Genomic DNA, 23,345 nt, shown 5'->3' on the forward strand with positions numbered 1-23,345 from the left:
ACTCTTGTCAATCACATTTTTCATTTGTAGTAAACTAAGCTGACTGAGGATTATAAATGAAATAGTTTCATGTTGGAGTATAACCATGTAAAGCCTCAGATGGGAAGTAGTTCTTGTTAAAACTAAGAAGCAACTGAGGAGTCACTGCCTCACATCACTTCCTCTAGAAAGGGCTGGCCCAACTCAACCCAACACCTAGAGAGGTGCTGTCCAATAGAACTTTCTGCGATGTGGACAGGCCCTATGACATAGAAGACATATGTAGCTAGTGGCTGCCATACTGGACAACACAGCACTATAGGCTTTTTAGTACAGAAGATTCCGCAGCTTTTTGACAACGTGCACTGAAGTTTATTCTTATATAACAGTGACAAATTGACATTAGGTGGCGGGCACCTGTAGTCCCAGCTACTCGGGAGGCTGAGGCAGCAGAATGGCGTGAACCAGGAGGCGGAGCTTGCAGTGAGCTGAGATTGTGCCACTGCACTCCAACCTGGACGACAGAGCGAGACTCCATCTCAAATAATAATAATAATAATATCATGTTGATCTGTCAATTCAACAAGTATTTACTGTGGACTTTCTAAGCGCCAGGTCCTGCTCTAAACTATGGAGCTATCTCTGTAAAAAAAAAAATACAAATAAAAAAAAAACTGGCAAGGCCCTTGATTTCAAGAAGTTTATAATCTAATGTGCAGAAATAAACAAGAAATATGAAGCAAATAAAGGCATGGTTATAAATAATAATCAGTGTTTTCAAGGAAGCACAGGGAGTGTTGAGAGGGAGATTGAGCTTCTTTCAAGGCAGAAGTCAGGGAATGTCTACCCAAGGAGGTGGGATGGAGGCTTCAGTTGGAGAAATGGGTGAGAAGGATTGTTTTAGGCAGAGGGAACATCATAGCAAGAAACCCCAGGTGGGAAAGAGCTTAATGTGTTTGAGGAACTAAATTAAGGCCAGTGTGGCTGGAACACAGTGGGTGAAAGGAGAAAGGAACAAGATCATGTTGATAGGTTGGGCAGGAGTCACTTGTACTGACTCTATTTCCAGTATATCAGAAGGTCTTGGGAGGATTTCAAGAAGAATGACATCAATCAGATATAATGTGAAAGTTTACTCTGACTGCAAAATAGAGAGTACTTGGAGAGGGGCGAGAGAGAGTAGGGACACCAGTTAGGAGGCTGCTATGGTCAAAAAGTGAAAGGCAGCTGGCGATGCTATAATCTAAGACATGAGCTGAGCCATGAAGATGATGGAAGTGGAGTGGATTTGAGAAATGATTCAGGAGGAGTAATAGAACTGAATGATTGATTGGACATTAGAGCAAGAAGATGGAGAACTCAGAAATACTTCTCAGGTTTCCAGGCTGAGAAACTGGTAGACTTTGGCCTCATTGGCACTATTGGGAATGGAATGCAGATCTCTCTTCCCACACTAATTCTTTGTTGACTCTGCACGCCCACAGTTTTTTTCCTGATCATGGAAGGCTGGTGATAACAGGGACTGAACACGACCATCCCATTTAGCACCGAGGCATTTCTGTTTCCAGACCTATCACTTTAAAGCATCTTTTACCCCTGAAGCAAGAATGAGCTTGAAAAACATTTTATATTAAAAAAATAAAAATAAAATGCCTGTTACATAATGGCTTCATTTAACTCTAAAATCCATCGTGTTATAGAACTAGAAACTTCTAGAGGGTTTGCTTCATTGGTTCCCAATTTTTCAGAAATGTGGGACCCCTCTGTAACAGTGAAGTCCGCCTCTCCGTATCATGGTAATAAAACTGTCTATCTGCTTCATTTAAATGAGATATGGGCTGAAAGAAAGATGCTAAACACATAGCCTCTGTGGAATTAGATTAAATTTTCCATTTAACCTGCTGAGATTATGAAAACAGTCTGACCCACAGGGCTGAGGGAGTTGCAGCAATTACCATCCCATTAAGAGTTACAAAAACAGTGGGATTTTTGCAAAATCATTGCCCCAGGCTTTATATCACCAGCTTTCGAACTATGTCCCAGAAAGATTAAGTACTTACTTAAATTTAAGGGACTACTTAAAGAAACCACACCCTCCTACTTCTTGACTCCCACTTAGCCTCACTATGCAAGGGTGAAGGGAGAGTCTGCAGCCAGGTTGAGTAATATTTTTCTCATCCTGAATCCTGCGCAGCCCATCTCCTTTTTCTGTGCCTGATAGAACACTTACCATGGGTCCGGCAGGGACTGTACCAAGACCCTTCATGCATTATTTCATTTAATCTTCACAAAAATTTCATGAGATAAGCTTTCTTTTTTTATGTTATTAATAAATGAGGATATGATACTTTAAGTTTTAAAGAATAAGCATTTTATTTTTGGTACATATTTATTGATCAAGAACTACGTGGTGACAAAAGTGCTATAAATTTTAGTGATTGTAGATGAATTTGTATTTCATTCATTCCAACAATCTCTATCTGCTTGGGAAATTAGTTACCATGTCATTCATTTAATATTTAAACAGTATGTAGAATGTTATGGGTTTGAGGCTTCTTGCAATTAATTATTATGGCCCCCCCCACCAGGGGTCCTTGGGTCATGATTGACATATTCTGATCAAACCAAAACTACTTGTTCTAGATTAGAAAATTGGACTTTAAAGAGGACAAGTGACTGGGCCAAGGGCACAGAACTTGTTGATAACAGAGTGGAGGCATGCACCTGGTCCTTCCATCTTTCCATTCACAATCTTTGCCACTATAGCTTCTGCCCTTATAAGGTGAAGATACTAGAAAAAAAGGTGATTACATCAGGACTGGTGGGAGAGTTGTAAATGCTATGAAGAGGAGTTGCCTAGAGATTTCTGCAGAGAAGGATCGTGAGGCCCAATCTGTACTTACTGGAAAACAGTGCAGTGATTGATTAATAATGTCTACCATGAGTTCATGTTTGGGAGTTAAGTCACATGTGCTATGTATTTGAATGTGACTGGGTCAAGTCTTTGTGGCTTTTAGGTGGCTTTAGGCTGGTTATCCTCATGGCATGGAGCTGTGCTCCATTTTCTTCATGGTGGTCCTGGCCATAAAAGCCTTAAGAAGTCTGGCGTAGTGGCATACAGCTGTAGTCCCAGCTATTTGGGAAGCCGAGGCAAGAGGATGGCTTGAGGGCAGGAGTTCCAGGCTGTAGTGTGCTATGATGGCACCTGTGAATAGCCACTGCTCTCCAGCCTGGGCAACATAGCAAGACCTTGTCTTTAGAAAAATATAATTTTTTTAAATTGGACTTTTAAAAAGTCTTTAGAAAAGACCAACAGAATTCCACTAGCTCTGGGCACTGAAGGAAAATTTCCATCTCCTTTCCATCTTACTCACCAGCCTATGTTATTTTGCTACAATCAGATACTAGTAAAAAAATTCTACGCAGTTAAAAATTGAGCACTGTTGCAGTTCCTAGATGGCTGAATAGGAACAGCTCCAGTCTATAGCTCCCAGCATGAGTGACGCAGAAGATGGGTGATTTCTGCATTTCCAACTGAGGTACCGGGTTCATCTCACTGGGGCTTGTTGGACAGTGGGGGCAGGAGAGTGGGTGCAGTGCACTGAGCATGAGCCGAAGCAGGGCGAAGCATCGCCTTACCTGGGAAGTGCAAGGGGTCAGGGAATTCCCTTTCCTAGCCAAGCAAAGCTGTGACAGATGGCACCCAGAAAATCGGGTCACTCCCAACCTAATACTGTGCTTTTCCAATGGTCTTAGCAAACGGCACGCCAGGAGATTATATCCTGTGCCTGGCTCAGAGGGTCCCACACCCATGGAGCCTTGCTCATTGCTAGCATAGCAGTCTGAGATCAAACTGCAAGGCAGCAGCGAGGTGGGGGGAGGGGCGCCCCCCATTGCTGAGGCTTCAGTAGGTAAACAAAGCAGCCAGGAAGCTTGAACTGGGTGGAGCCCACCACAGCTCAAATGGGCCTGCCTGCCTCTGTAGACTCCACCTCTGCAGGGCATAGCTGAACAGAAGGCAGCAGAAACCTCTGCAGACTTAAATGTCCCTCTCTGACAGCTTTGAAAAGAGTAGTGGTACTCCTAGCATGGAGTCTGAGATCTGAGAACGGACAGACTGCCTCCTCAAGTGGGTCCCTGACCCCCGAGTAGCCTAACTGGGAGGCACCCTCCAGTAGGGGCAGACTGACACCTCACATGGCAGGGTACCCCTCTGAGACGAAACCTCCAGAGGAACGATCAGGCAGCAACATTTGCTGTTCAGCAATATTCATTGTTCTGCAGTCTCTGCTGCTGATACCCAGGCAAACAGGGTCTGGAGTGGCCCTCCAGCAAACTCCAACAGACCTGCAGCTGAGGATCCAGACTGTTAGAAGGGAAACTAACAAACAGAAAGGACATCCACACCAAACCCCATCTGTAGGTCACCATCATCAAAGACCAAAGGTAGATACAACCACAAAGATGGGGAAAAAACAGAACAGAAATACTGAAAATTCTAAAAATCAGAGAACCTCTCCTCCTCCTAAAGAACGCAGCTCCTCACCAGCAACAGAACAAAGCTGGATGCAGAATGACTTTGACAAGTTGAGAGAAGAAGGCTTCAGACCATCAACCTTCTCCGAGCTAAAGGAGGAAGTTCGAACCCATGGCAAAGAAGTTAAAAACCTTAAAAAAAGATTAGAAGAATGGCTAACTGGAATAACCAATGCAGAGAAGTCCTTAAAGGACCTGATGGAGCTGAAAACCATGGCACGAGAACTACGTGATGAAAGCACAAGCTTCAGTAGCCAATTCGATCAACTGGAAGAAAGGGTATCAGTGATTGAAGATAAAATGAATGAAATGAAGCAAGAAGAGAAGTTTAGAGTAAAAAGAATAAAAAGAAACAAACAAAGCCTCCAAGAAATATGGGACTATGTGAAAAGACCAAATCTACGTCTGATTGGTGTACCTGAAAGTGACGGGGAGAATGGAACCAAGTTGGAAAACACTCTGCAGGATATTATCCAGGAGAACTTCCCCAATCGAGCAAGGCAGGCCAACATTAAAATTCAGGAAATACAGAGAATGCCACAATGGTATTCCTCAAGAAGAGCAACTCCAAGACACATAATTGTCAGATTCACCAAAGTTGAAATGAAGGAAAAAATGTTAAGGGCAGCCAGAGAGAAAGGCCGGGTTACCCACAAAGGGAAGCCCATCAGAATAACAGCTGATCTCTCAGCAGAAACTCTACAAGCCAGAAGAGAGTGGGGGCCAATATTCAACATTCTTAAAGAAAAGAATTTTCAACCCAGAATTTCATATCCAGGCAAACTAAGCTTCATAAGTGAAGGAGAAATAAAATCCTTTACAGACAAGCAAATGCTGAGAGATTTTGTCACCACCAGGCCTACCCAACAAGAGCTCCTGAAGGAAGCACTAAACATGGAAAGGAACAACCAGTACCAGCCACTGCAAAAACATGCCAAATTTTAAAGACCATTGATGCTAGGAAGAAACTGCATCAACTAACGAACAAAATAACCAGCTAACATCATAATGACAGGATCAAATTTTCACACATAACAATATTAACCTTAATTGTAAACAGGCTAAATGTTCCAATTAAAAGACACAGACTGGCAAATTGGATAAAGAGTCAAGACCCATCTCATGTGCAGAGACATATATAGGCTCAAAATAAAGGGATGGAGGAAGATCTACCAAGCAAATGGAAAACAAAAAAAGGCAGGGGTTGCAATCCTAGTCCCTGATGAAACAGACTTTAAACCAACAAAGATCAAAAGAGACAAAGAAGGCCATTACATAATGGTAAAGGGATCAATTCAACAAGAAGAGCTAACTATCCTAAATATATATGCACCCAATACAGGAGCATGCAGATTCATAAAGCAAGTCCTTAGAGACCTACAAAGAGACTAAGACTCCCACACAATAATAATAATGGGAGACTTTAACACCCCACTGTCAACATTAGACAGATCAACAAGACAGAAAGTTAACAAGGATATCCAGGAATTGAACTCAGCTCTGCACCAATTGGACCTAATAGACATCTACAGAATTCTCCACCCCAAATCAACAGAATATACATTCTTCTCAGCATCACACCACACCTATTCCAAAATTGACCACATAGTTGGAATGAAAGCACTCCTCAGCAAATGTAAAAGAATAGAAATTATAACAGACTGTCTCTCAGAACACAGTGCAATCAAACTAGAACTCAGGGTTAAGAAACTCACTCAAAACCGCTCAACTACATGGAAACTGAACAACCTGCTCCTGAATGACTACTGGGTACATAATGAAATGAAGGCAGAAATAAAGGTGTTCTTTGAAACCAACAAGAACAAAGACACAACATACCAGAATCTCTGGGACACATTTAAAGCAGTGTGTAGAGGGAAATTTATAGCACTAAATGCCCACAAGAGCAAGCAGAAAAGATCTAAAATTGACACCCTAACATCGCAATGAGAAGAACTAGAGATGCAAGAGCAAACACATTCAAAAGCTAGCAGAAGGCAAGAGATAACTAAGATCAGAGCAGAACTGAAGGAGATAGAGAAACAAAAAAACCTTCAAAAAATCAATGAATCCAGGAGCTGGTTTTTTGAAAAGATCAACAATTTGATAGACCTCTAGCAAGACTAATAAAGAAGAAAAGAGAGAAGAATCAAATAGATGCAATAAAAAATGATAAAGGGGATGTCACCACCGATCCCACAGAAATACAAACTACCATCAGAGAATACTATAAACACCTCAATGCAAATAAACTAGAAAATCTAGAAGAAATGGATAAATTCCTGGGCACATACACCCTCCCAAGACTAAACCAGGAAGAAGTTGAATCTCTGAATAGACCAATAACAGGCTCTGAAATTGAGGCAATAATTAATAGCTAACCAACCAAAAAAAGTCCAGGACCAGACAGATTCACAGCCGAATTCTACCAGAGTTACAAGGAGGAGCTGGTACCATTCCTTCTGAAACTATTCCAATCAATAGAAAAAGAGGGAATCTTCCCTAACTCATTTTATGAGGCCAACATCATCCTGATACCAAAGCCTGGCAGAGACACAACAAAAAAAGAGAATTTTAGACCAATATCCCTGATGAACATTGATGCAAAAATCCTCAATAAAATACTGGCAAACCGAATCCAGCAACACATCAAAAAGCTTATCCACCATGATCAAGTGGGCTTCATCCCTGGGATGCAAGGCTGGTTCAACATACACAAATCAATAAACGTAATCCAGCATATAAACAGAACCAATGACAAAAACCACATGATTATCTCAATAGGTGCAGAAAAGGCCTTTGACAAAATTCAACAGCCCTTCATGCTAAAAACTCTCAATAAATTAGGTATTGATGGAACATATCTCAAAATAATAAGAGCTATCTATGACCAACCCACAGCCGATATCATACTGAATGGGCAAAAACTGGAAGCATTCCCTTTGAAAACTGTCACAAGACAGGGATGCCCTCTCTCACCACTCCTATTCAACATAGTGTTGGAAGTTCTGGCCGGGGCAATCAGGCAGAAGAAAGAAAGAAAGGGTATTTAATTAGGAAAAGAGGAAGTCAAATTGTCCCTGTTTGCAGATGACATGATTGTATATCTAGAAAACCCCATTGTCTCAGCCCAAAATCTCCTTAAGCTGATAAGCAACTTCAGCAAAGTCTCAGGATACAAAATCAATGTGCAAAAATCACAATCATTCTTATACACCAATAACAGACAAACAGAGAGCCAAATCATGAGTGAACTCCCATTCACAATTGCTTCAAAGAGAATAAAATACCTAGGAATCCAACTTACAAGGGATGTGAAGGACCTCTTCAAGGAGAACTACAAACCACTGCTCAACGAAATAAAAGAGGACACAAACAAATGGAAGAACATTCCATTCTCATGGATAGGAAGAATCAATATCGTGAAAATGGCCATACTGCCCAAAGTAATTTATAGATTCAATGCCATCCCCATCAAGCTACCAATGACTTCCCTCACAGAAATGGAAAAATCTACTTTAAAGTTCATATGGAACCATAAAAGAGCCCGCATTGCAATCCTGAGCCAAAAGAACAAAGCTGGAGGCATCATGCTACCTGACTTCAAACTGTGCTACAAGGCTGCAGTAACCAAAACAGCATGGTACTGGTATCAAAACAGAGATACAGACCAATGGAACAGAACAGAGTCCTCAGAAATAATACCACACATCTACAACTATCTGATCTTTGACAAACCTGACAAAAACAAGCAATGGGGAAAGGATTCCCTATTTAACAAATGGTGCTGGGATAACTGGCTAGCCATATGTAGAAAGCTGAAACTGGATCCTTTCCTTACACCTTATACAAAAATTAATTCAAGATGGAGTAAAGACTTAAATGTGAGACCTGAAACCATAAAAACCCTAGAAGAAAACCTAGGGAATACCATTCAGGACCTAGGCATGGGCAAGGACCTCATGTCTAAAACACCAAAAGCAATGGCAACAAAAGCCAAAATTGACAAATGGGATCTAATGAAACTAAAGAGCTTCTACACAGCAAAAGAAACTACCATCAGAGTGAACAGGCAACCTACAGAATGGGAGAAAATTTTTGCAATCTACTCATCTGACAAAGGGCTAATATCCAGAATGTACAAAGAACTCAAACAAATTTACAAGAAAAAAACAACCCCATCAACAAGTGGGCGAAGGATATGAACAGACAGTTCTCGAAAGAAGACATTTATGCAGCCAACAGACACATGAAAAAATGCTCATCATCACTGGCCATCAGAGAAATGCAAATCAAAACCACAATGAGATACCATCTCACACCAGTTAGAATGGCAATCATTAAAAAGTCAGGAAACAACAGGTGCTGGAGAGGATGTGGAGAAATAGGAACACTTTTACAGTGTTGGTGGGACTGTAAACTAGTTGAACCATTGTGGAAGTCAGTGTGGCGATTCCTCAGGGATCTAGAACTAGAAATACCATTTGACCCAGCCATCCCATTACTGGGTATATACCCAAAGGATTAGAAATCATGCTACTATAAAGACACATGAACATGTATGTTTATTGTGGCACTACTCACAATAGCAAAGACTTGGAACCAAGCCGAATGTCCAACAATGATAGACTGGATTAAGAAAGTGTGGCACATATACACCATGGAATACTATGCAGCCATAAAAAATGATGAGTTCATGTCCTTTGTAGGGACATGGATGAAGCTGGAAAGTATCATTCTCAGCAAACTATCGCAAGGACAAAAAACCAAACACTGCATGTTCTCACTCATAGGTGGGAAATGAACAATGAGAAAACTTGGTCACAGGAAGGGGAACATCACACACTGGGGCCTGTTGTAGGGTGGCGGGAGGGGGAGGGGGAGGGATAGCATTAGGAGATACACCAAATGTAAATGACGAGTTAATGGGTACAGCACACCAACATGGCACACATACACATGTGTAACAAACCTGCATATTGTGCACATGTACCCTAGAACTTAAAGTATAATTATATATATATATATATAAAAATTCTGAGCACTATACAAAAACCTTCCTTGACAAAGAAACAGAGGTTATGCTGAATTGTGAAAAATTTTGATCGTGATAATTGGGAGTACCCCTTGACATTTTTTCAAAAATTTAAGTTGAAAAACTAAAAATATAACTTTTCAATGTTTCTCTGCTCCCATTTACCTCCAAACTGGCAATTGATTGCCCTTACATCTGAATACACAGCTGGGTCTTGAAGTAGCATTAGGAAAATAGAATTTCCAGTAGAAAGCCTGAGTCTACCCACAGACGGGGTATTGACCAGAAATATAAGGGCAAAGTAAATTCCATTACTTTCAGTAGAGTTTAACCTATAATCTTCACCCAAGCATATAGGCACCTCAGAATAAGAGAAAGAACTTATAAAAAAATTGATTGTGTTACCCCCCAAAAAGAGAAAGCCAGCAGCTGGTTTTGGGGAGGGCTAAAATCTGTTTCTGTCAGCACAGGAACTACCATCTTGGAACCGTGAAAGAAATGAAAATCAAGGCGAAAGTTAAGTACTTTTTTCCGATGACCTGGTGTAATGATTAAAATGCTGAATTGCTTTTTTAAAAGGTTTTTCCACTGAAAGAAAGAATGTCAGAGCCTTCCCCCTGACTCAACCTCTGCTCCCTTCTTTCCAAATGACTGTGAAAGAAAATAAAATGGAATATATATTTAAATATTTTTTTCTTCATAAACAATTCGATCTCTTTTATCTGAAAGTTTTGCCAATGTTTTCATCAGTTCCCTCAGAGATGGCTGTGATTCCACTTTTTCTTTGAACAAAGAATAAATTGAGTTTCTTTGCAGTGAAAAATAGAAGGCTTGCTAAAAGCACTGACTTCAAAATAGTGCTTATTGCACATTTAGAGAAAGCATATTGAAAAACAGTGCTCATGCCGCCTTTACCGAGAAGCCCGCTTTGGCTTACATTAAGCTGCCAGCATCTTCTGGAAAAAACAAACAAACAAACAAAAAAACCTTGGCGATATGCTAAGCTAGAGACGGTGTTGGTATTTTCCTTTGAAAATACCTCTGTTTCTCAGTCATTTATTTGTGCCTCCATTAGCAATTTATTTTTAATTCTGCATTCTATGGAAAAAGCATATTGCTGGAAAACAGGCACATCTTACATGCATATGCCTGACATTTTAAAAAATGAATGTAACGCCCTCCACGCTCAAAATAAACAAGCTGTTTTTCCCTTTCCCCACACAATATTTATGAACCTCCAGGAGATTGCTAATGCATTTAACACCGCCAGCACACTAGTCCTTGCCATGTGACTCCTTTGTTCTTTTGAAAGAACTGTGTCCCTGGCTCCCAGAGTCCCACCCTGACTTCCCAGGATCAGGAGTCACTGGCCATCAGGTAGGTGACCTTCTCCTGGTGACCTGTTGGATTCAGAACAGCAATATTTCAAAGTTAACCCAAGAAAATTCTTGAAGCTTGCATATTTCCAATGAACAGTAGTGTTTACTTTTTCGATAGTGTTAATCTGCCTTCTCTACGTTCTGCACATTAAAGAATAGTTAAAATCATCAGGCAGATCTGAGATGAGTCCCTATTCCATTATTCTCTGAAATCCCGGGCAAGAAACTTTTCTGAGTCTTAGCTTACTCATCCATATTTAAAATTTATACTGAAATTTATATGTATACACACACCTACATTAAAAAGTTATTTGTAGGGATTCATGAGAAAATGCTTGTAGAGTGCTTAGCACAGGGCTGGACTTGCTAATAATTATTATTTGCTAAACCAGTGATTAGATAACATTATTGACATTTATAAATAACTTCACATTTTACAAAGCTGCTATCCTGAACAGCATGTGAAAAGCAATTGGTGTCCACATTAATATTGTTTTTCTTTAAATGTCATTTTAATACTACAGATCAATTACCTGGGCTAGATGTCTTAGCCTATTCCAAAATAGATAGACTGTAACCAATCCTATTTCCTCCAGGGTCCCGACCTACTGGGCGGTCGTGATGTTCTAAAGAAAGATGGCCACTGCTATAAATATTAAGTGCTATGGTTTGAATGACCCTGTAAAACTCATGTTGAAATTTAATTGCCAATGTAACAGTATTTAAGAGGTGATTAGGCCATGAGGGCTCTGCTTTCATTAATGGATTAATGCTGTTGGCACGGAGTGGGTTTCTGATAAAAAGGATGAGTTCAGCCCAATTTCCTTTCTCTGCCTCCTGTGCTTGCTTGCCCTTCTACTGTGTTTTGATACAGTAAGAAAGGCCCCACTAGATGCTCACGCCATGCTGTTGGACTCCACAGCTTCCAAAACTGTGAGAAATCAATGTCTTGTCTTATAAATTACCCAATCTGTGGTACTGTGCTATAGCAGCAGAAAACTAAGACACTAACTTTGGGTTGAGTCTTAGGAACTCAAGCCACTGTAAAAAAAAAAAAAAAAAAAAAAAAACATTTTCTTCTAGTAATTAAAACAAAAAAAATCTGCTAAGCAAATTTTTTATTTATTTAGCTTGGATTAACTTAAAGTACGTTTTCAAGTTGAGTGCTAGTATTTCTTCAATTCCAGAAAAGTATAAGCCTTATCTTTTTGAAAATTGCTTTCCCCTACATTCTTTTTTGGAGCTTCTGTGAAATATAGATCTGGACTTTTCCATCTGTCCCAGTTGGTCTTCATCTGTATTGCATTCTGAATGTTTTCCTCAAATTCAGTTAGCCAATTTTTTTTAGGTGTATCTGATATGTTGTTCAACATGCTGATTGAGGTCGTAAATTTAATGATTGCAGTCATCTCTTAGTATACCCAGGGATTGGTTCCAGGACTCTCTTGTATACCAAATTTCGTGCATACGAAGTTTGCACGTTGGCCCTTTGGAAGCTGCATACACAAAAAGTCAGCCTGCCATATAAGTGGGTTTCTCATCTCACCAACACTGCATTTTCTATCTGCATTGGGTTGCAAAAAATCTGCCTATAACTGGAACTATGCAGTTCAAACTCATGTTGTTCAAGGGTCAACTGTATATAACGTATTCCCAATTATTTGGTTCTCTTTTAAATTTTTATGATCTTTAAAAAATAATGTCTTGTTCTTTCACTAGGGTTTCTATGACGTCTTTATCTTTGATGCTTTTGAACACATTGATTTTATACTTTCAATTAAACTATTACCTCTAGTTCTTGAGGTACTAATTTCCTGTTATACAGCTGGTTCTCCCTCATGGTTCTGTGTTTTCCTGGGCAGATCATCTTATTTTTTAAAAATTAGGCTTATCATTGGAGATGGGGGGTGGGAACTTCTTTGCAAGTTCTTTATGTCCTGGATTATAAAAATATTCCTGTGGACCAGTTAAACACTTGATTCTCCTGCACTTTTCTATATTTATGTTTATGTTCATTTCTCAGCTTGAGATTCTCATTTCATAGGTTAATTTGGACCCTACATCTGATCATGTGATTTAGTCTGTGGGTTTTACTCTTTCTATGTGTAACTATTTCTCCACCTATAACTCCCTTATAGTTTTATATGGTGCAATATTAGGCCAACAGGGTAATTTTTCTAGTCTTTTACTCATAGAAAGAAGAATATTTGAAGGCTCCAGTATTTTTGTTTTGGGCTTACTTCTAACCTCCAGCCTCTCATTATCCAAAAGGTCACCATGGCATCATGTCTATTTAGATTTTGTGGCCCTCTTTGTTTCTAGACATCTGGGGATCCCTTGCAAGCTCTACTATGTATATACTTGTTTTGTTGTTTTTACGTTTCACCCTTCTATTCCTCGTGCAACAGGAGGATCGGTTCAGTGCACTGAGTTGACCTAAGCATCTTTTCTTAGAGAGCACTTCTCACTACTGTATATCACTTAGGTCTGCCTGCCTATAACTCAGCAAAATTGCCCACTCAAAGCACTGAGACCAGAACCAATTTAATGCCTTGATTACAACTCTGGACCTTTTGGTGAAGCAATGCTTCCCATTTTATTTAATGAGTTGTCTTGAATTCTAGGTTTATTTTGTTGAAAAACCCTAGATGTTTGATCATTTAAAAATACAAAAAACAATTTCTCACAAGGATGCCTTTTTACCTGAAGGATAAACTGGGAGGCATTTCTTTCTGCAAACCAGCTCCAGATGATCTCAGCATCTAAAGAAATTTAAAAAGTTGTTTTCCCCCTAATTTAATCAGCATTACAAGCCAGTGATGGTGTTTTCAGCAATAAATAGATCATCTCACTACTGGCCTAATGTTTTCAGAGAGTATCCTAGGTGATGCATAAATTATGAAATTGTTATGAAAACTTTGACTAGAAGGGCTTAACCCCTTTCTTATTGATGAGGTGATATCCAGGCATTTTTATTGTCCTTAAACTATAGAAATATAATTTGGGCTCTAGAAGTGTTCTGTTGTAACAAAAATGAAATAATCCAAACTTTTTCCCTCTCTTAATAAAAATTCCCCATGACCTGAAATAGTCACATTTCCCTATGGTGGAACTAGCATGAAGGTCAAGAGTTAGAACCTGAGAGATGGTGTGGGAGGGAGTGAGGCAGGTAGAGAAAGAAAGATGTGTTTAGGTCTTTTGTCTAGCTCATAGTACAGTACGGCCAGGACTAGGGTAAAGCAAATGAGATCCTTGCCCTGGGCAGGAAATGCAAAGCAAGTCTAGGAAACTTAGTAATTATTATAGTATTTTAAATTAATATTAAAAATATGTTAATTCACTTGATTCAATCATTCCATAATGTATGAATATATCAAAACATCACATTGTGCTTTATAAATGTAATACAATTATGATTTGTCAGTTAAATAGTATTAATAAAAATAAATTTAAAATTAATAAAACAATATTTTAAAAAATCAAATTGGCAAACTGTGAGCCATGGACTGTCACCTGCTTGGGTAAATAAGATTTTATAGGAACCAGGGCTGCATCATGATGAGGTAAATGAGACAGAGTTGTCCAAATGCAGGGTCAATGAGGTATAACAGTTGTCCCTTATTATCTGCTGGGGATTGGTTCCAGGACCCCCACAGACACCAAAATCCTGTGATGCTCAAAACCCTTACATAAAATGGCATAGTATTTGCACACAACCTATGCACATTCTTGTATATACTTTAAATCATCTCTAGATTACTTATAATACCTAACAGAATGTAAATTCTATGGTTAGATTGTAATTTTTATAATTTTTTTCTTGCTGTTATTGTTTTTTTCTGAATATGTTCAATGCATGGAGGGCCATCTGTAGTGTCCTTATTTAAAATTTGATATTTTGTTCATCATTGGATTTTTGCATTGCTTTTGATTTTTTAAGTCATTGCCTTAAAAATATCATTTATCTCGACTACCCCCTTAAATTTTGTGCCCAAGAGGAGTGCCTCACTTACGTCACCCTGTTCCTAGCCCTGAGATGGGAAGATATCACAGAGAAATGGTGATGTCTGAGCTGTTACAGTTGCATATACAAGCATCATAGCAACATTCTGGGATGTATGATCTTCATCAGGGTGTTTAACTCTTGGTTTTCCCACCATGAGATGGGGGCAGTAAAAGTACTTACTTTACAGGGTTATACTGAGGATTAATTGTAGACTGCTCAGCACAGTGCCCAGTACACTGGTTCAGTAAGTATCTTAGTCCATTCAGATTGCAATAACAAACTACCATATACCGGGTGGCTAATAAACAACAGAAATTTATATTCTTGTAGTTCTAGAGGCTGGAAGTCTAAGTTCAAAGCGCTGGTAGATTCAGTGTCAGGAGAGGACCCACTTCCTTGTTCATAGATAGCATCGTCTTGCTGTCTTCTTATATGCCAGAAGGGTCAAGGCAGCTTTCTAGGGCCTCTTTTATACAGGGAATAATTCCATTAATGAGGGTTCTTTCTGCATGACCAATCACCTCCCAAAGATCCTACCTCCAAATACCATCACATTGGAGATTAGGTTTCAACATATGAATTGGTGGAGTGGGGCAAACATTTAGTTTATGGCAGTGAGCATAAGTTAGTAGCAGCAATAATAGAAATGAAAGATAAGTTTTTAAAGCTCTAAGCAAAGGCAGATTGGTTAGGGCCTTGATTAAGATTTTTTTGTTATAGTAAAATATGTATAACGTAAAAGTTATTTTAATGATTTTAAAGTATACAGTTCTGTGATGTAAGTACATTCACATTTTTCTGCAGTCATCACCATCGTCCATCTCTAGAACTTCCAAAAATGTCAAACTCTATCCAGGAAGCTTTTAAAGGACCACTGGAGGTTGTGGAGCAGGAACCTGGCCTAAAGAAGCATGTGGCTAAAATGAATCTGAGAAAAGCATCTAGATGATACAGAGGAAGACAGGAGGCGGGAAACAGGAGGGTCCCACAGTGGTCTGAGTAGGAGGTGGTGGGCTTTGACTAGGAAGGTGACAAAAGAGGTAAGGAAGAAGAACAGAAAATGGAACCTCATTAGACAAGAAGGGAAGAATGGAAAGGAATCAAATGGGTGAGGTGATATTTTGAAACAGAATACAATTAACTGAAAAGTTCCATTAGGCATAGAAACAGTAGAGCTGGGGGTCAGACAGCTGCTTCTCTTGCAAAGTGGTCTGCTGCCACCGGCTCCTGCTGGCAGAGCTGATTCTTTAATTTTCAGAAATGTTATGAGCCTACTGTTAAACATTGCCATAATTAAAAATTAAATTAAACTTAAAATTAAATAAATTACATTAGAAACAAAGGTTATAACTGAATACCCATCACTCCTTAATTACTTTACTACATTTCACTATTATCTCTGCTTCTGAAGTTATTTAAATCTATCCTATCTGTATAGTAAAATACCATATAACAGCATGCTACTGCCCATATCTTCTCACTGCCACATTCATTGACATCCTTTTGGTAACCTGAAACTGGCTGAGGTGGGAGTATTTACACCAGGAAATTGGCAAGGGCCGCAAATTAGGGCTTGATTCTTTGTTGTCTATCGCAATGTTGATAATGCACTTAAAAGTGTGTTGCATCTGTAGCTATTATACTAAAACTGTATGTTAAATCAAGGTCGAATGGCTAAGAAATTATAATGAGTTCAGCAAAAAACGAAAGCAGTCTGAGAAAATCAATTGGAACTTACAGAATATTGTATATTTTGTTATTTATAACTTACATGATATATGTCCTTTTATCAGTAAAATTTGTAATAAACTTATATTTGTATAAATGCATACTGTTGGGGAGTCAATTGTTGAACATTTACTAGTACACCACTGACCATACTTTTCTCTGATAAAGAGATTTATTGTATAACATCTGTTTATATTCCTTCTGAAACTATTCCAGTCAATAGAAAAAGAGGGAATCCTCCCTAACTCATTTTATGAGGCCAGCATCATCCTGATACCAAAGCCTGGCAGAGACACAACAAAAAAAGAGAATTTTAGACCAATATCCCTGATGAACATCGATGCAAAAATCCTCAATAAAATCCTGGCAAACCGAATCCAGCAACACATCAAAAAGCTTATCCACCATGATCAAGTGGGCTTCATCCCTGGGATGCAAGGCTGGTTCAACATACACAAATCAATAAATGTAATCCAGCATATAAACAGAACCAATGACAAAAACCACATGATTATCTCAATAGATGCAGAAAAGGCCTTTGACAAAATTCAACAGCCCTTCATGCTAAAAACTCTCAATAAATTAGGTATCGATGGGACGTATCTCAAAATAATAAGAGCTATCTATGACCAACCCACAGCCAATATAATACTGAATGGGCAAAAACTGGAAACATTCCCTTTGAAAACTGTCACAAGACAGGGATGCCCTCTCTCACCACTCCTATTCAACATAGTGTTGGAAGTTGTGGCCAGGGCAATCAGGCAGAAGAAAGAAATAAAGGGTATTCATTTAGGAAAAGAGGAAGTCAAATTGTCCCTGTTTGCAGACGACATGATTGTATATCTAGAAAACCCCATTGTCTCAGCCCAAAATCTCCTTAAGCTGATAAGCAACTTCAGCAAAGTCTCAGGATACAAGATCAATGTGCAAAAATCACAATCATTCTTATACACCAATAACAGACAAACAGAGAGCCAAATCATGAGTGAACTCCCATTCACAATTGCTTCAAAGAGAATAAAATACCTAGGAATCCAACTTACAAGGGATGTGAAGGACCTCTTCAAGGAGAACTATAAACCACTGCTCAATGAAATAAAAGAGGATACAAACAAATGGAAGAACATTCCATGCTAATGGGTAGGAAGAATCAATATCGTGAAACTGGCCATACTGCCCAAGGTAATTTATAGATTCCATGCCATCCCCATCAAGCTACCAATGACTTTCCTCACAGAAATGGAAAAATCTACTTTAAAGTTCATATGGAACCAAAAAAGAGCCCACATTGCCTAGTCAATCCTAAGCCAAAAGAACAAAGCTGGGGACATCATGCTACCTGACTTCAAACTATACTACAAGGCTACAGTAACCAAAACAGCATGGTACTGGTACCAAAACAGAGATATTGACCAATGGAACAGAACAGAGCCCTCAGAAATAATGCCACACGTCTACAACTATCTGGTCTTTGACAAACCTTACAAAAACCAGCAATGGGGAAAGGATTCCCTATTTAATAAATGGTGCTGGGAAAACTGGCTAGCCATATGTAGAAAGCTGAAACTGGATCCCTTCCTTACACCTTACGCAAAAATTAATTCAAGATGGAGTAAAGACTTAAATGTTAGACCTGGAACCATAAAAACCCTAGAAGAAAACCTAGGCAATACCATTCAGGACATAGGCATGGGCAAGGACTTCATGTCTAAAACACCAAAAGCAATGGCAACAAAAGCCAAAATTGACAAATGGGATCTAATTAAACTAAAGAGCTTCTGCACAGCAAAATAAACTACCATCAGAGTGAACAGGCAACCTACATAGTGGGAGAAAATTTTTGCAATCTACTTATCTGACAAAGGGCTAATATCCAGAATCTACAAAGAACCCAAACAAATTTACAAGAAAAAACAACCCCATCAACAAGTGGGTGAAGGATATGAACAGACACTTCTCAAAAGAAGACATTTATGCAGTCAACAGACACATGAAAAAATGCTCATCATCACTGGCCATCAGAGAAATGCAAATCAAAACCACAATGAGATACCATCTCACACCAGTTAGAATGGTGATTATTAAAAAGTCAGGAAACAACAGGTGCTGGAGAGGATGTGGAGAAATAGGAACACTTTTACAGTGTTAGTGGGACTGTAAACTAGTTGAACCATTGTGGAAGTCAGTGTGGCGATTCCTCAGGGATCTAGAACTAGAAATATCATTTGACCCAGCCATCCCATTACTGGGTATATACCCAAAGGATTATAAATCATGCTGCTATAAAGACACATGCACACGCATGTTTATTGCAGCACTATTCACAATAGCAAAGACTTGGAGCCAAGCCAAATGTCCAACAATGATAGACTGGATTAAGAAAATGTGGCACATATGCACCATGGAATACTCTGCAGCCGTAAAAAATGATGAGTTTATGTCCTTTGTAGGGACATGGATGAAGCTGGAAAGTATCATTCTCAGCAACTATCGCAAGGACAAAAAACCAAACACTGCATGTTCTCTCTCATAGGTGGGAATTGAACAATGAGAACACTTGGACACAGGAATGGAAACATCACACACTGGGGCCTGTTGTGGGGTGGGGGGAGGGGGAGGGATAGCATTAGGAGATATACCTAATGTAAATGATGAGTTAATGGGTGCAGCACACCAACATGGCACATGTATACATATGTAACAAACCTGCACGTTGTGCACATATACCCTAAAACTTAAAGTATAATAAAAACAAACAAACATGTGTTTATTATTATATCCACCTTAAAGCTGTCTTTGCAAAAGACAAATTGACTCGTTCCCTGGTCAAAATGAAAAACTGGACACCTCCTCTACCTAATAAACACTGTAATGGTTTTTCTGTAGGCAAACCACAGCAATTGATTGAAATTGACAGAAAAATGATTATTTTTCACTGTAATCGCTAGCCTTAGTTAACATCTTTTGAGCACCGCTATGTACCAGGCACTATGCAATGTGTTTTATTCATATTTCAATCCTCGCTCCCCTATGCAAAGTAGGTCCTCATGTTATCCCCATTTTATAGATGGAAATATCAAGGTTGTATAATTAGTAAGTGGTAAGGTGGGGATTTGAAGGCGACCTTTCTGATTCTTTCTGATCTCTTCATTGTGATACATTCTCTACTATGTTGTCTCCAACTGTTTATATGGAGGTAAAATCTTCACTTCAAAAAACATCATATATTCCAGGCAATAGTTATTGATCAACTACTACATTCACTGTGCTGTGCTGGGTAATCACAGGAAATTTCTCAGGACAGTCACCTGAGAAGTATACAAAGTGGCCTCTGACTCCCAGGAATCCATTCTGTTTACAAGGGTGCTTATATAATCAAGTGTCCATGTGTCATCACTAGCAAGTCCACTTCCACAGTTGGAAGACTGACTTCCCAAACAAGCTGCACTCAGCTGATCCTGGTTGGCTTCACTTGCTCCAAGGCCCAGACCCTCTTTTCTCAAGTGTCTTATACTCATCCCCTAAATCTCCCTTGAAGAATTCATGTGCTTCTCCTCCCACTCAGTGCTTTCTAAGGAAGTTAAATGATGATGCAGAAATCAAGCAGCAGGTACCTCCAGCCAGGAGGTCCTTACTGGTTGCACAATTACGTTTAGTTACAGAACCTTTGAGGAGTCTCCTATCAAAATTTTGTGTTGCTGTGTGTGCTGTCAGCTGATTCACCTGAGATAGGTCCAAAATGAGAAATTTCAAGGGCTGTTGAGCACTGTTGTTTTCCAAGCTGATTAGTACAAAAGCATTCAACATTGGAGTCCTGGAATCCTAGATACATTGGAAGAAATTTTTCAGCACTGGATGGTCCTAAAACTTCCCCTTACCCCAAAATTCCAAGGCAAGTCCAAATTCACAAATACCTCACGAACAAATGGCAGAAACTGGGAGGTGGTCCAAGGATTCTGGTTCTCTCTCCCTATTTTCTCTTTCTTCCTGTCTCCACCTACCAAGATAACTTCCTTGCTTCTGCTTCAAACTAGGCCACTAATTACGAGAGAAGTCAGAAATAGTGTTGATATATGTCTGTGATGTAAACAGAAGCTCAGATGAAGCAAGACAGGAAGGTATGCTAAAGATAGAAAAGAGATCCTTCTGTTCATCAGTGGCTGAAAAATAAAGATTCTAGAACATGAAAAAAACATAAATAAGCCAAATAGAAATAAACATGTATGTATGTGTGTGTAACTAAGCAAGTACACTTATAATAGCATTAATTCCTTTTGTCTCCAGAGAAAAAGAGGGAGGGACATTTGCAAACAGGAGTGCCCACTATTTAAATGTCCATGTGGTTGTTTGGAATCATGTAAATATAGGCTGATGCTTGTCTTTGAGTGGTCTATAGCCTACATTTCCAAAAATGGGAAGTAAGTTCTGTTTATGCAAAGTCGTAAGATCACCAAACATGATTGTTTTCCCATTCACCAACATCTTTGTGCCAGGCATGGAGTAAGTGCTCTGAGTACATGATCCCACTCACTCTCCCCATCAACACCTTTAGGAATGTGGTGATCATTTTACATTACAGGATGCTAACGGTGAGATAGCTCAAGTTGTTTGCCCAATGTTATGTACCTGGCACAAGGCAAGGCTGGGATTTGAGCCCAGGTCTGTCTAATTCTGGGCCCTGGGCACTTAGCCTTTCTGCAAGGGCTGAGAAAAGGGCCTGGAGACCACACAGACCTGGATTCAAATTCAAAGCCCCCTCTGTTGCCTCCTATATTACTGTAGTGTAGTGGTGGTGGTAGTTTACTTTCCCTTCTTGAGCCTCACTTTCCTTCACTGAAATAGAAGCAACCTTGTAGTGTATTGTGACAATGGGAAAGAATGTGAGCAAGGAGCTTAAAACAAGACTTGGGCTGGGCTCAGTGGCTCACTTCTGTAATCCCAGCACTTTGGGAGGCTGAGGTGGGCAGATCACGAGGTCAGGAGTTCGAGACCAGCCTGGACAACATGGTGAAACACCGTCTCTACTAAAAATACAAAAATTAGCAGGGCATGGTGGCACATGCCTGTAGTCCTAGCTACTCAGGAGGGTGAAGCAGGAGAATCACTTGAACCCAGGAGGCGGAGGTTGCAGTGAGCCAAGATCATGCCATTGCACTCCGGCCTGCATGACAGACTGAGACTCTGTCTCAAAAACAAACAAAGAAGACCTGGCAGATAGCTAACATTCGGTAACTAGCAATTGTGATTCGTGTAACTAATTCTGCTGTGAAATGGTGCCTGATCTTCAATAGGCAAACTTTACACATAAGTAAAGAGAGAGTTATTTTAAAAAACCCAATTCATCTGACATCCATTTGTTTATTCGTTTGTTTAGCCATTCAACAAATATTCATTAAGCATCCACCCTGGCATGAGTTGTTTTCCTTGGTGCTTTATGTGTTGCTTAAAAAAATAAGACGACAATCACCTGAAAACCACACCATGCAGTAGGTGTGATGTCTGAGCCTTCACCATCTCAACTTCTCACACCTTCTTTTGTATTTCAGGCACTGGGCTAGGCTCAAGGATGGACTGAAGGCACTTCCTGCCATGTCAGGGATGAGGGGCTCATGGTCTGGCCAGAGGCAGCAGGCAGCATTGCAAGGAGTGTGGGCAGAATGTTCGAAGGAGAGGGAGAGATTGCACATACACAAGACTGCACCTCGGAGATAACTTTTGAAGGTGTTTCGGGTGTGAGAGGAGGCGTGACAGGCCTAGGGAGCAGTGAGAAACCCAGCTTAGTTGAAGCATCAGGTGCAAGGCAGCTTGGGGGTGGAGTGTCCATTTACCCTTTGGAATACAGTCTTCCTGTTGGCATGGCAACTGCTGCAAAATAAATTCAAGGTGGTACTTCAAATGATGCCTCTGAGACTGTCCAGGAGTCATTTAAATTGCTTGTTTGTTATGTATGACAATTTGCCTAACCTCCAACCTGCAATTGTAGCTTGGCAATCTTTTGTTTATTGTGCTGATGTGCTTTCTTGCATCATCGTCTTCCTTAAACCTCTTTTTTGGTTTGTTTTTATTTTGCCCATCTAGAAAATATACGCAGGCATTGTGTTGATTTTCCCAGGCTCCCTTGAGATCGTGCAGGCCTTCCATCTCTTCATCTGATGAAAATGCTGCCAGGGTGATGTTTACAATCTCATTTTTCACCCCAGGATCCCTGCACTCAGCTGTGGTGGGAATCACAGTGTGCTCAGCCAGCCGTGTCCCTTCTTCCCATGGAATTTTTGGAATTTGGGCTGCTCATAGGGGCACAGAAGCACCAGCTACATTGCTCCTTCTATGCTGGGGAATGACAGAGTCAGTGCTCACACTATGAATGTCTCCCAGATGTACACAGCTGCCCTACAGGCCGACACCACATGCTTGCCATCCCTGACTGACTCTAAGTACAGAATAAAAAAGAATTCATGAAAAAACAAATAAATAACTTAGGGTGCCTTTTCCCATCTGAGATTCTAAAGCAAACAAAAGTCCTGGCTTCTTAGGTCAGTGGTAGATTTGCCAAAGCAAAATAAATGTCTGAATCTCCTCTGGTTCCTGTTTCTCCTAAGCATGTGTGTGTGTGTGTGTGTGTGTGTGTGTGTGTGTGTGTGTGTGTGTAAGGAAGACAGAGACAGACAGATGGGGGCTG

At 39.9% G+C, this 23,345-nt stretch overlaps 1 long non-coding RNA gene across 1 annotated transcript in view, besides 1 other annotated feature; it reads left to right on the forward strand.

The window, feature by feature from the left end:
• Positions 1-23,345, forward strand: part of CFAP20DC-DT (CFAP20DC divergent transcript) — a 724,471-nt gene that overhangs the window by 523,586 nt on the left and 177,540 nt on the right. The window lies entirely within an intron of this gene.
• Positions 3,446-3,617: a silencer, noted in NCBI's record as "fragment chr3:59599597-59599768 (GRCh37/hg19 assembly coordinates)". NCBI's record gives its function as "represses an EF-1alpha promoter that drives an FKBP-Casp9 reporter gene in an ReSE screen in K562 erythroleukemia cells {active_cell/tissue: K562}" and the evidence as "EXISTENCE:reporter gene assay evidence [ECO:0000049][PMID:32094911]".

Source organism: Homo sapiens, chromosome 3 (assembly GCF_000001405.40).
Source record: "Homo sapiens chromosome 3, GRCh38.p14 Primary Assembly".
NCBI classification, from domain to species: domain Eukaryota; kingdom Metazoa; phylum Chordata; class Mammalia; order Primates; family Hominidae; genus Homo; species Homo sapiens.